General features: G+C 38.6%; 1 long non-coding RNA gene across 2 annotated transcripts in view; it reads right to left on the bottom strand.

The window, feature by feature from the left end:
* CFAP20DC-DT (CFAP20DC divergent transcript) overlaps positions 1 to 15,006 on the bottom strand; it is a 724,471-nt gene that overhangs the window by 684,051 nt on the left and 25,414 nt on the right. The window contains exons 3-4 of one of the 2 annotated variants that reach the window (XR_002959675.2): positions 7,419 to 8,314; positions 2,649 to 2,723 (exon numbers count right to left, since the gene is read on the bottom strand). This is a non-coding gene — a long non-coding RNA (CFAP20DC divergent transcript). The remainder of the gene's footprint in view (positions 1 to 2,648; positions 2,724 to 7,418; positions 8,315 to 15,006) is intronic. The other variant, XR_007095934.1, reaches the window with a different exon arrangement.

The raw sequence follows: 15,006 nt of genomic DNA, 5'->3' as shown, positions 1-15,006 counted from the left end.
GTGTGGGAAAGCTGTCATAGCTACTTTTGCTGTCAAGTTAACAATGCTGTATCAGTGCAACTAAAATGGTCAACTAGCCTTTCACACTGACAAATAGTAGCTCCTGAGAATAAATAAGCTTTCTTCCCATCTACAGAGTAAAACTATGTGTCATCATTGGACTCATAATTTCTTTTATACATATTACAGAGAACCTGGGAAAAGAAAAGAGCCCAGGCCATTTTTATTAATTGTTCAGGTAACTTGGTAGTCCTTGCCTCACTAAATTTCTTTGCTAGGTTAGAACTTTGTTTATCTTTTATTTGTGTAGAAAGCATTTTCTAGTGAGGATGCATTTCTGGTGAAGTGGCTATGTGAGGTTTACCCTGGAATAAACTGATTGCAAGAACCCTGGCAGATCATCTGAGACTGATCCAGGCTCTCTATTCTCTGCACCCTTTCTTTCCTTCTTAGCCTCCTCCTTTGTGGATGAGGCCCTTTGGGGCATAATTACATCAAAGTTGTGCTATGAGGTTGATCATTCTTAGCACCAGAGAGGCTGGTTTTATAGAACAAACATTCCACTCCAAAGAAGCTGAAAAATTTAAGCCAAATCCCATGGAGGGCTGTGAGGTGCCACCAGCTCTGATTCCTCATTGCCCCAGGGTGGACCAAGGAGCAGTGGTTTCCTCAGTTTTGACCACACGGGAAGTTGGAAGGGTAGAAAAGAAGGAGGAAGACCAAGGGAGAAAGGTCCTAAGGCTGACTCAGGTTAAAAGAGCCCAGTGAGGGCCGGGCGTGGTGGCTCACGCCTGTAATCCCAGCACTTCGGGAGGAGGAGGTGGGCGGATCATGAGGTCAAGAGATCGAGACCATCCTGGCCAACATGGTGAAACCCCGTCTCTACTAAAAATACAAAAATTACTGGGGTATGGTGGTGCATGCCTACCAGCTACTTGGGAGGCTGAGGCAGGAGAATTGCTTGAACCTGGGAGGCGGAGTTTGCAGTGAGCCCAGATAACACACCACTGCACTCCAGCCTGGTGACAGAGCGAGACTCCCTCTCAAAAGACAAGCAAACCACCCCCCCACAAAAAAAAAAGAACCCAGTGAGAATAGTAAAAACAAAACAAAAAAGTTGCGCATCACATCCTGGACTCTGTCTGCAGTGAACTACTAGTAAGACTATTTTTTTTTCTGGCAATGGACTATAAGTGCATGCTTCCGTAGAAATTACAGGGCATTTTAGAGGGTTACATGCAGAAGGTGAAATAAACTCCTAACTGTTCAGAAAATAAACGCTCCTGTTGTACACATGGCTGTGTATTCTTACTTCGTTGCAATGTGGACTTTTGAGAATTATTTAAATGAACAGTAACAGCAAGACGGCTTTAAATTCTTCTTGCCTCTAAAGAAGACTGGGCCCCCGAGTGTCCCTTTATTAAAAATAAACTTAAATGGATAAGCTAGTATGGTGGAAGTAGTGGTCAAAGTTAGAAAGCCAAACAAACAATGTCAGCTATAAGATGCTGATTTTCGGCCACGCGGGGTGGCTTACGCCTATAATCCCAGCACTTTGGGAGGCCAACGTGGGCAGATCATGAGGTCAGGAGATCTAGACCATCCTGGCTAACACGGTGAAACGCCGTCTCTACTAAAAAAAAAAAATACAAAAAATTAGCCGGGCGTGGTGGCGGGCGCCTGTAGTCCCGGCTACTAGGGAGGCTGAGGGAGGAGAATGGCGTGAACCCGGGAGATGGAGCTTGCAGTGAGCCGAGATGGCGCCACTGCACTCCAGCCTGGGCGACAGAGTGAGACTCCATCTCAAAAAAAAAAAAAAAAAAAATGCTGATTTTCATGTTTCCTGTGTATAGTAGGAGATACTGTGTATAGATAGGAGCTCTTTATGCAGTGTTTATGTGACTTGTGATTGCCTTTACGCAGACTGCACTATGACTGCATTTTGTATCATGCTGTGTTAGCAGCTCCTACAGCATGATCTGTAAAATCAGGAGAGAGTGAGTCCCGCTGAACTCTAATTATTGTAATTATTACAATCATATGCAAAGAATGGGAAAAACGACACATAGTAATTATCTTTTTATTTGATCCTCAAACAAGCATAGATATTTCCTTTACCCCACTAAGTGGCCAGGCATGTTAGGAACTTAAGGAGGAACATTATTCTTTCATCCCTCTGATTTTAGCACAGTCTTCGTGAGTGAAACCAAAATGAAAGCAACTTTCAGACCCAGAGGCTGTTACAGCTCAGCTGAACAGGCTGCTCCGATAGGTTACAATAATGGCATTTTACACTCTGCCTCTATTGGAAATATGATATCGTCAATAGCTTGTGGATATCTTTTCCCTCCAGGCTTTGAGTAAAAGGTCACTTCCTGAGAGAGGCTTCCTGATCTAAGTAAGTCTTCCAAATACACATGTCTTCTTCATTATTGTCTCTCACTGCATCCTATTTTAATCATACTTATAATATATTATAATCAGAATTTTATTTTTCCATGTATATAGCAGCAAATGCAACAGCCTGGCATGTGGCAGGTAGTTGAAAGAGGGAATATTACCAATGGTGGCTCCATGAGGCTCTCTGTATCAGGCAGAGAAATCCTCAGTGCATGGGTGTGAACGACAAAGAGCACCTCCCCACGTACCTGAAGCACCTTCCTGCCCTTTGTCATCTCCAGAAGAATTGCGCCTGAAACTGCCATGTGGGACAACCTCAGTACCTAGGAGAAAGTTTTTTAAAACCCAGATGTCAATATTCTGCCCAGAACTTAGGAATTGAATAACTCAACAAGCAGCTCTACTGAGCAAAGTGTATAAGCAGACAGCTCACGACAGAGAAAATAAAATTAATAAATGAATGCAAAAATATATACAACATCAAGAGACATTAAATAAAAGCATGTTAGATTCTCTATTTTCACCTTCTAAAAATACATATTTTAAACATAACCACTAATGCTAATGAGTTTGAGTTTGAAGTGAAACAGGTATACTCATCCACTGAAAACTGTCCCTACCCTTTTGGAAATGACAACATGGAGGAAGAGTGATGATGATGTTAATACTCTTTGGCCCAATCCTTCAAATTTACACTAAGGAGATAATGCAAAGGAAATTAAAAAGTTAATATGCACAAAACATTATTTCAGTATTTTGTGGGTCATTGTAAACATATGGAAAACATGTAAATGTCCAAAGAATGGCTGTGGTACAAAAAAGTGATTTTTTAAAAAGTTAGCAGACATTAAAGATTGATCAAATGAAATGAGTGCTAGGGAAAAGAGTCTATGTAGAAACAGAATACAAAATAATATGTCTATCATACATTCATTCAATCAATAGTAAGCACCTATTGTATACCAGACAGTATTCTAAGAGCTGAGAATGTATCAGCAAACAAAACAAATTCCCTTCCCTCATTGAACTTTTACTCCAGCTAATAAAGATAGACAATAAACCAATAAGGAATAAAGTTGCTTATGATTTCCATCAAAGACAATAGCTCGTTACATTCAACCTCCCAGATATATGTCCATAAGTAAGTAAAGTAAAATAATTTTATTTTTAAAATTCTAGCATTTGTGTTCCAAAGTAAATGTGTCTAGGTTACCAATAAAATGAAAAATGCTAAATGTATCTATTGCAGAGGACACAAACCCAGGAAAATTCTGCTTCTCAAAAAAGATAACAGGAATGAAATTAATTCCAGAGGCAAGCATACCTGACTTCATCAGTGGAGTTTAATCTACCTTTTCTCTTGCTATCTTGGTTGAAATTTTACCTGGTTTAAATAAAACTATATTTTTACAGAGCTCAAATCCTTGGAAACTATATATAAAGTAGATCTCTTTCAGTACCCTGTTTGTTACTCTCCTAGTACTTACCATAATTGGCAATCATTTTATTTATTTGGCATGCTTAGTTGCTTTCGGTCTGTCTTCCTCTCTGGAAGGTCAGCCCCAAGGTGGCCATGGCCTGTGATATAGTTTGGATATTTGTTCCCTCCAAATCTCAAGTTGAAATTTGATCCCCAGTGTTGGAGATAGGGCCTAGTGGGAGGTTTTTGGGTCATGGAGGCGGATCCCTCATGAACAGCATGGTGATGTCCTCTTGGTAATGAGTAAGTGCTCACTCTACTAGTTTTCCCATGAGCTTATTAGGAAGCTCCTCTCTCTCTGTCTCTCTCTCCTTCTCTTCCTGCTCTCTCCATGTGGTGGTTCCCCTTTGCCTTCTGCCATGAGTGGAAGCAGCCTAAGGCGCTCACCAGAAGCAGATGCTGGCACCAAGTTTCTTGTACAGTCTGCAGAACCATGAGCCAAATAAACCTCTTTTCCTTGTAGATTACCCAGCCTCAGTTATTCCTTTTTGGACTCTCTTTCTCTTACATCCCACCTCTGATCTGGGTTCTGCCTACAAAATACTTCCAGAATTCAGTCACTTCACACTACATCCTTTTTGGAAGACAATTCTCCATGGGTATTTCATGTTTATTTCTACCCAACTTTCAAGTGGAGGCGCTGATAAATTTTGTGCTGACCTATCTTTTCAAGGAGGCTGTATAGCAAATAGCCTTGGAAGATAGTGATTGATAGTGTTACCCTCTGGAGAAGTGGTCGTTTGTTTGCCCTCCAGTATAATAAAGATAATGTCACCTCATAAAAAAGATCACAGGTTAGGCGAGTTTACTTGTAGTCCATTATAAAAGATTGGGGTTTCCTAAGCTTGGGGCCCCTCTGTTGTGACACAAACTCACTGTATGCACAACATTCACCCAGGCCACTCTGCATCCCCTCATTGAGACTTGAGAGACAAGGAGAAAGAGATAATCATGAAGCTCTGCTGACTGCTAAGTCATGAGAAGTAAAGTCCTTTGTAATCCAGAAGTCTCATGTGTCTTTTACCAGCATTCATGAAACTGTTCCAGGCTAACTTGCTAACTTGCAAGTAGTGGGGTAAAACTCAGGTCCTGACCGTTTTTTCTTTTTCTTTTTCTTTTCTTTTTTTCTTTGTTGTTGTTGTTGTTCTTCTAAGATAGGGTCTGTCTCTGTTGCCCAGACTGGAATGGAGTGGCACGATCTCAGCTAACTGCAACCTCTGCCTCCCAGGCTCAAGCTATCCTCCTGCCTCAGCCTCCCAGAGTAGCTGGGACAACAGGCACTTACCACACCCAGCTAAGTCCCCACAGTTTTTGACAGTCCTCTACTCCACCTCTGCCACAATCAACCATCATCTGTCACTACTAAGTCTCCTAAAGGGTCTCCTGCTTCCATCTTGGTGGAAAATCCCCTACGGAAAATCCCCTACAGGATTTTCTGCACATTGCAGCCAGGATCCATTGAAAACCAAATCAGTTATAGCAACTCCTCTGCTTAAAACCCTCCAGTGACCTCTGTCTTTACAATGCTTTACAATGCCCAAAGTGCCTGACTCCTTGCTATTTTCCTTTATCTCATTTTGCTCCACTCTCCCTACTGCCCCATCAGCTCTAACCATGCTGTTCTTACTCTTCCTCTAGGTGTGCCCCCATCTCAAGGCCTTTACTCTTACTGCTCTCTCTGCCGGAAATGACCTCTCTCAGAGTTAGATCATTTCCTCACCGCTATTAGGCCTCTACTGAAACACTGCTTTCTTAGCAAGGTTTTCCCGATCACCCTATTTAGAATTGCAATCCCCCCTTCCTACCGTGCATGCTTGTCCCCTTTCTCTGCTTTATTTGTCTATGTAGCACTTTTTAGCTTCTAATATATCATTTGACATTTCTTTTTGATTATGTCGCCTTGCACTGGAATGTAAGCTCCACGAAGGCAAAGACTTTGCTTTGTCCATTTCAGTATCTCTTACCTAGAACAATTTCCTAATCTATAACAACTTATTAAGTCAGTGCTTAATAAATTGTTGTTAAAAGATTGAATATAGACTTCTAAATCAAGCTAGGCTCAATATCTTATTAATTATGCCACTTTGGACAAGTTGCATAGCCTCTCTGAGACCTAGTTTCCTGATGGTAAGAAGAGAATTATCTTCCTCATATGATTGTTGAGTGGATTAGATGGACACATGAAAAGCACCTACTAAGCATTTAATGAAGTTAATTATATTTCATCTTAATAAAATCCAGATGAAATTTATTTTAATTACACACTAGTAATTAATTTGCATCAATTATATACCAGTGATTTTGGTATTGCCAGGGAAAACCTGATGTATTATGTATCACTAAGCATATCTTTTCAGCTTTTTATCCTCAGTACACAGCCCAGCTTCTAGCAAACACTAGTCACTCAATAAGTGTTTGTTGGTTTGTTTTGTCTCTTCTCATCCTAAAATCCCCTATAGGATTTTAGGGGAAAATTGAAAAATGTAGAGAAAAACTAAGTCACCTATAGTCCTTTTATGATCATGATTATTATTTTACTGTATTTTCTTCTGGATTTTTTCCTATGACTATTTTTAAACAGTAATTGTAGTATACATATATTTTTATATCTTGCTTTTTTCCACTTACTTTTTTGACACAAACATTTTTCTATACAGCTATGTTGTCTTTCCAACCATTAGTTTCTGATAGTTGTGTCATTTTGTCAAGTAGATGTATCATAGTTTACTTGACCATTTTCTCATTATTGGATATTTAAGTAATTTACTGTTCATTTTAATATATTTTAAATGACTTTTAAAAAGAGAGAGGAAAGAACCACCCACCTGCTTCTAAACTACAGCATGTCTGACCCTTTTTGGGGAAGAGAAACTGAATTCCTCTACTCTTCATTTGCAAGAGACACTTCTGAATAATTCATGAGTACACAAAGATGAAAAAGATATATATCATCTAGCTGATTATTAACATAATACAGCCAAATGAAACATTATCCTAAAAAGTCACTTAATTGCAGCTGTGGAAATGAGACTTTGAACATTTTAGAAAGAAATCATATTTGAGACGTAAATAAATACACTTCAAAATTATTTTAAGACATTGCCTAGTGAAAATTCTTCCCTGTAAATGGTGGTTATTGGGTTTTTTTCCCCACAAAAATGGAAAATCAGTCCTTCCAATTAGCTAAGTTAGCGAACAATCTAAAGAATAATGTAGTAAATTTCAAAAATATCTGTAAATAAAATGTAACGAAATTACCTACCTTTTTGTATATAAATGTTAGTAGGGCCTTTTTTTGTTTGTTGTGTTTTATTTTTTAATTAGGTCATATGGAAAGTAACTCAGATGGTAATATGAAAACTATGTGCTAATTACTTCAATCGCTTGTAATTTTTTAATTATATAATTCCTAAAAGAAAATTATATTTCTCATATGAAAAATGAAAACATAAACAGAGAAAAAGATAAGTATAATGACATTTGTTTTACACAGGGCCAACGAAAGTAAAAAGAAATGGAAGGTCGGAGGACTACTCACAGACTCTTTGTAGGTTTCTGAATGCACATAAGATTCAAAAACTCAGAAGATACATGAGTTCCATTTTTTTTTTAACCTACAGTCCTCCATCCTGAGCCCCCGTGTCCCGATCGATCTCTGTCAGCTGCGTTCTAGGCCTGATTGTGTAGTTGCATCCTGAATATCCTTTTGCAGGTCTCCCGTGTTCTAATCCCTGTTTCCTGAATTCAGTGTCCTTATGATTCTTGGTTTATCCCCTTATTTTGGTTAAAGTATATCTTCTACTTGCTTCCTAAGAAGGCAAATGTTTTGAGGACTTCCATAGTTGATAAATACGTTTTTTTTTTTTTTTAGACAAGGTCTTACTCTGTCACCCAGGCTGGAGTGCAGTGGCACCATCCTGGCTCACTGCAACTTTGACTTCCCGGATTAAAGCGATCCTCACGCCTCACCCTATGAGTAGCTGGGACCACAGGCGCATGCCACCACGCTCAGCTAATTTTTTAAAATTTTGTGGAGACAGAATCTTCCTATGTTGCCCAGGCTGGTCCCAAACTCCTCGGCTCAAGCAATCTTCCAGCCTTGGTCTCCCAAAGTTCTGGGATCACAGGTGTGAGCTACCACACCTGGCCAGGGAAAAATCTTTATTCTACCCTTTATGCTACTTGTCAACAGTTTAGTTGGGTGTATACTCTTACAATTTTGAAGACATTGCTCCAATATTTTTCGGCATCACTTTTTGGAGTTGCGAAATTCCTGCCACTTAGACTTACAGGTGAAGGTAGAGGGTCTGGGGGAATACAACTGGCTGTCAGATTTCTGAGATCAGACTGTAAAGGGAAGTTGGTACTGAGAGTTCCATTGTTCAACTTCAAGCCTCCTCCAGTTCAAATCCTCTAGAGGAAAGTCAGTTGTTCCTGAAAGACAAGAGGATAGGATTGTTGCCTGGTGGAGATGAGGGGATTTGGAAAGTCCACCCACTTATGTTCCTTCTCCTTTTATCTCTACTTATACTTCTCCCCAAACTTCTGCAATACCTGGTTCTTCCAAGAGCTGAGCCTCCAGAGGTTGCCCAGGGCAAATTAGCATACTTCTAGTCTCATCAGATCCAACTTCTCATCTTTTTTCTGTCTTTTAAAAATTTTCATTCACTCCTATCTCTTATCTGTGCTCTATGTCCTTGTGAAATAATAACTTTAACAATAACAAACAAAGACATTGTCTTTTTCTTAAAAGTGCTGAAGAGAAACAGCCTCTTTATTCTTCAGATGATGGCCTCTCAGAGCCTCCTTGACTCCGGGCTCCTCTGGTCCACTGTTCTAGTTCCCCCTTTAAGCTCTTGGAGTGCTGTGAACAGATCTCTAGTAGCTATTTTCTGTTCTTTGCTGATGTCTTCTTCTAAAAATACTACATTACACTCTGTATCACACAGTTGAGCACTTGATCACATCCCATCTTGATTCACCTTCTATTTCATGCATATTAACTGTAAGCATCTCACTGCAAGAACAAAGACTAATATTTCTTATGCAGGCCTACAATGCCTAAAGTAGGCTATCTCTGTTATTAGTGTGCTTACAGATCACTTACAGAACTTGTTTAAAATGAAGATTCCCAGACTTCAGCTCTAAGAAATTGAGTATGACTGTGGCAAGGTGCCAGAGACTGGATATCTAACAGGCACAACCATATGATTCTGACACAGGTAGCCTTGGTCTATATACCTTGAGACATATTGTCTAAGGGCAGTCCTGAGCACTTGTTTAATAAACAGATGAGTTATTGCATTGGTTCATTTGTTGTTTTCCCCCATTTTATCTTACAAGGTTGAAAATCTGGTTTCCTTTAATATACCATCATAAATCTGACATCCATGAATTTATCTGAGTCTTTTATTAGACTTATATTTTTTCAAATTTAATAAGAATTTAGGATTGCAAATTTAATAAGTTTACAGTCAGCTGTATATAGTTCTAATTTTGTTGCCCTTGATTTATTTCTTACAGGATTCACAAGGATTTTATTTGTAAAATTTTTTGATTTGGCAAATGTATTAGTCAGCTTGAACTGCCATTAATACCATAGACTGGGTGGTTTAAACAACAGAAATTTATTCTGTTCAGTGGAGTCTGGGAAGTCTAAGATCAGGACACTAGCATAGTCAAATGCTGGTGAGGGCTCTTTTCCTGGGTGTGCCTGCGTGTTCTTTCCTAGGTATGTGCATGTAGAAAGACAGAGAGCAAGATCTCTCTCGCTCTTCCTCTTCTTAGAAGGCCACCAATCCTACTGAATTATGGCCCCACCCTTATGATCTCATTTAACCTTAATTACTGCCTACACATTCCATCTCCAAATATAGTCACATTGGGGTTAGGGCTTCAACGTATGAATTTCAGAGGGACACAATTCAGTCCACAGCAGCAAACTACCCACAATATTTAGGTACAGTTACAGCTACACATAAATATGGGAACCCAGGACTTCCATGTGGCAAGTGCTCAGTAAACATTTGTTTGACAAGTGAAATAGCCAACTTCTAGAAAAGATGCTACAGCTAAGGGAAAAAGAATATCTGGTGAAAGAATATTCGGTGTGCTCTGCTTTAAACAGAGTCAATGTATGAAATGGAGGAAATATGCATACCGATATATTTACTGTATAAAATAATTTACTAAGACTTCCTTTGGGCATAGGAAACATTAAAAATTCCATTTATGTGTATTTTCTTTCTGAAAAACCTCTATTAAGTAAATTGATATATGTGTATAAATAGGTAATAACTCAGATAAAGTTAGTAAAAGAAACAGTCAGACTGACAGTCTGAAGTGGTTTATCCTCAAAGGTTTTATGAAGTGAGATTTTTGATAGGCTGGAGAAGAGAGAGGCAGAAATTCGAGCACTGGAAATTAAACACATCCACCACAGTTCACTGGCCAAAGTCAAGTCCCATGATCACATCTGACTTTCGGGGTGGAGGGAGTACAATTCTCCCTGGTATAAGAAGTGGACTGGTCTCACACCTGTAATCCCAGCACTTTGGGAGGCCGAGACAGGCGGATCATGAGGTCAGGAGATCGAGACCATCCTGGCTAACACGGTGAAACCCCATCTCTACTAAAAATACAAAAAATTAGCCGGGCATGTTGGTGGGCGCCTGTAGTCCCAGCTATTTGGGAGGCTGAGGCAGGAGAATGGCGTGAACCCAGGAGGCGGAGCTTGCAGTGAGCCGAGATCGCGCCACTGCACTCCAGCCTGGATGACAGAGCGAGACTCTGTCCCAAATAAAAAAAAAAAAAAAAAAAAAAAAAAAAAAAAAAAGAAGTGGACTGGTCAATGAATTGTAGTAAAGCCTGTCACAATGACTGTAGAGACGTTTTCAATGAAAAATCGACCCTATTCTCCAAGGTATTTGTTGAAACATTTTATTTTTACTTATTTGAGTGTTAGCAACAATGCTTGACTGCTGCATAGAAAATAAAAGCAAAAGATGGCTTAGAGTCCTACAGCTGCTGGTAGATGTGCAGCAATTTCTCTTCCACACCTCTCTTTGGCATCTGAGTGGATCTGAAGAGACAATTTTGGTCTTTGAGGTTTCAGAATTGATTGAAAGTGAAATAATTAGGGTTTCTTGCTTCGTTGGAAAAAGCCAGAACCTGAAAGGTGCCCCGAAGGGAGGAGTAGCATTTAAGTGCAGCATCCTCTAGAGAAGAAAGATGCTGGCGCTTACAAATCTGCTGAAAGCCCCTCTCAACAGTTTTCTTATCCTCCTTTACTTGGAGAGCTGAGCAGCGAGTTCAATGAACAGAGACAGAAATCTAATCCAGCTGTCTGGCATGCCACTTACAAGAAACAGACCCCCATCTTCCTCAGGACAGCATTCTCAGGGCTCACGAAGCAGGCAACCTTTCTTTTTTTGAAAGTGAAAGCTAAACCGTTCAATACTGCTTCAATAGACTCAGAATTTCATTGTAGTTGTCTCAGAAATGGTCCACAAGTACTACTAATTAACAAGTATGAAATTTATGATTCTATGCCACAGTCCCAGGAGATACTGGTCCAGTACCCAAATAACATAACTTCAAAATGAACAGCTTCATATTAGTGGGGATGGGGGTGAGTCACAGAATAAAAGGAAAGAAAAGTAACCTAAATGTGCCCATTTGTAACTGCTATGGGGTCTGAAGCCATTTTATTTAGCTTGACTGGGGGAAGGGCCTTGGCACTAATCTAAACAGAAGAGAATATTCATAAAGTAATTTGACCAGGGCGTGTAGCTATGGGCAGAATTTCACTGTATATGAGCAATTTGGAATCGTGTTGCAACATAGGCCTAGTGAGTATTTCACTATAGTAGAACTTTTCTAACTAATTTCTACTCAAGCAATCTACCAGGTTAAGCAACTGTCTACAGTTTTACTGTAAAATATCCCAACTGGATACTATAGCCACTAAAAACTGGCAACTGGTAGGCTAATCTCTTATAATCCATGTACTTCTTCATTACCCACCAGTTGAGTTGTATACTTGCCAAGAGTGAGCTGCTGTATTTGTCCCCAGACTTACTAATATCAGTTGTACTTGTTTTAATTATAATATTTAATTACATATGTAAACTGATGAAATGTAAATGTGAGAAGAAAGAGTTGCTTGTTCTCTAAAAACAGGCCTGAATGCCTTGGAAAGATTCAATAAAAGGAAATTGCAGGAGAGATAAAGGTAAAAGATTAAAGGGAAAAATAAAATAAATTTAGAAGAATTCTGTATTCATTGCTTTGCAGGTGACTTTATTTCATATTACAGTTACTGAAAATGGACATCTTTATAATTATAAAGTGATTTATGCAAGATAGACACAGAACTTCAATCCTTTACTCAAAGAGAAGCACTCGGTCCTACATTAAAAGACTGAAAATTAATGCATAGTAATAAGCTCTAAGTAAACACAAAATTTTTAAGCTAAGTGATCTGTTTGTTTTTCTTTCATTTTTTTCAATTTTTTATTAGAAAAAATATTCAAATCTACAGAAAAAATATACAGAGCTTCAGGACAATAAATGCCTGTATACCTTCACCATGTTTCATCAATTTTAATATTCTGCCACATTTTTAGTCTCTCTTAATACATATATACATGTATATACACATGCAGATATTTTAAGAACTATTTGAAGGCAAATTGAAGACACTGTAATACTTTACCCCTAAATATTCCAGCCAGCATCTCCTAAGAGTAAAGATATTCTCCTATATAACCACAATGCCATGACCATTTTTAGAAAATTGATAATTTAGTAACATCACCTAATATACTGTCTTTATATATCCCCAGAAGCCTCCAATATGTCTTTTATAGCATTTTCTCCACACTTAGAATCCAAATCAAGTTTCACCCATTGCATTTCCTTGTTATGTCTCTTTATCCTCTTTTAATTTAGAATAGCATTTTTACATTATCTGTTTTTTATGACATTGAGTTTTAAGAGTCTAGACCAGTTGTCTTACTGATCACTCTATATAATGGATTTGTCTGATTATTTCCTCATTATTAGATTCAGTTGAAACATCTTTTTTGTAAGAACACTGGATAAGTGATATGTACTTGCATCTGAAAAAAAGATTGAAATACTATCGTCATTGGTATCAGTACCTTTCCTCACAAAAGTAAATGTAATCACTTGCTGAAGATACATTTTTTTGTAATTAGCAGTTTATCTGTGAGAAGGTATTTCACTATCATGTGAATACTCTATTCTCCAACAACTTTGATCCAATAGTTATAGCTTCTATCAACAGTCTTTGCCAAGCTCAAGTGTTACATAGATAACTGCAAAAGAAAGATTTCCTAATTCTGCAATTCCTTCTACTTTTATTGGCTGACATATTTATGCTCCTACTGTCTCCAAATAAGAGCTTTCCCTCATATTTCCCTTTCTCTATTTCTCTTTCATTCTTTAAATATCTCATGAACTCAGAAATTTCTTTTATTCAATGTGCTATAATCTATTACTTTCATAATTTTTTGATGCTCAAATTGTCCCAGATTTTCACAGTGGAAGGCCATTGTATTCAGCTTCTGTGATTGTTCACATCTCCATTAGTCCCTGAACAGTTGTGTTATAGCACCAGACTTCTTTGTATTTTCACTGACATCAGTCGTTTTTTCCAAAGAAACTTGATTCCTTTACTAAGAAATGATATTTGGAAACTAAGATCTGGGTACTAGATGTGCCCATTACTACTTGTGTGTCTTGTTTCTAGTCTATAATAATTCCTTAATATTATCAAATATTCAGTCAATGTTCGAGTTTCTACAGGTGTTGAAATTCTACAAGCACTGCCTGACTCTTTCTCTCTGTCTTTTCCCCTCATCTTTTTTTGTGTGTTAAAACCAGGACCCAAATAAGGCCAGTACCTACAGGTGGTTGATATTTGTCCCCTCTTGTTTCTCCTTTACTTTTCTTACAGTGAATTTGTTCATGCAGTGACATTTATTCCCCTCTGGAGTATCCTACAGTACGGGTTTTGCTGATCACATCCCCAGTGGTGTGATTCAACATGTTCTTCTGTATCTAGTATGTCCTGTAAGTTGGTTGTTAGATCCAGAGGGTTTATTTTTTGGCAAGAATAGCTCATAAGGTATGTCACATATTTCCATCAGAAGGCAAATAATGCCTAGTTGATTCTTTGTATGGGATGTCAGCAACAATTGGTGATCACTGCCGAGATCCACTAACTTGTTAGGATTGCAAAATAGTGATATTCAAATTCCACCTTCTTCATTTATTCTTTGGAATACCCATAAGTAGACATTTTTCCTCACCAAATATTTGGTTACCCAGGGATATAGTTTGAAAGGAAAGATAAGAATATTTTTAGCTTGGTCGGGTGTAGTGGCTCATGCCTGTAATCCCAGCACTTTGGGGAGCCGAGGAGGGTGGATCACTTGAGGTCAGGAGTTCAAGACCAGCCTGGCCAGCATGCTGAAACCTGTCTCCACTAAAAATACAAAAATTAGCCAGGCATGGTGGCGCACGCCTATAATCCCAGCTATCTGGGAGGCTGAGACAGGAGAATCACTCGAACCTGGGAGGCAGAGGTTGCAGTGAGCCAAGATCACACCATCGCACTCCAGCCTGGGCAACATAGTGAGACTCCATCTCAAAAAAAAAAAAACGAAAAACAAAGAATATTCTTAGCTTTTTTTTTTTCCAGAACAATGAGTTGATTACCTAGAATTTTCCAAAAGTGACCAATAATTTCTTTGCTATCATTATAAACTCATGAATTTAAACCTATTTCATATGCTTCAATTTGCTGCTATTATTTTCCTAATTATGTTCAAAGTGTTCCAGATTTTGTCCAGGAAAAAAAACCTGCTCAAGATGATTCCTGCACCCTTTTGTCACAATCCCAGTTGTTTTTAATATTTAGCTTACTTTCTGGTAGGACAAGATGTTCCAGGCTTATCTTGTAAACTTTTTGCCCTAGATTCTAGAATCTGCCATTTACTCATCAAATTCTGGTTCCTTTTAATGAGAATGAAGATACAGAGACCACAATTAGGACAGTAGAGGTGTTCACTGCTGTGAGGTTATCATTGTTTTTCAGG

Source organism: Homo sapiens, chromosome 3 (assembly GCF_000001405.40).
Source record: "Homo sapiens chromosome 3, GRCh38.p14 Primary Assembly".
NCBI lineage: Eukaryota > Metazoa > Chordata > Mammalia > Primates > Hominidae > Homo > Homo sapiens.
The sequence above is the reverse complement of the archived record's forward strand: the minus strand, read 5'-3'. Positions and strand labels throughout refer to the sequence as shown.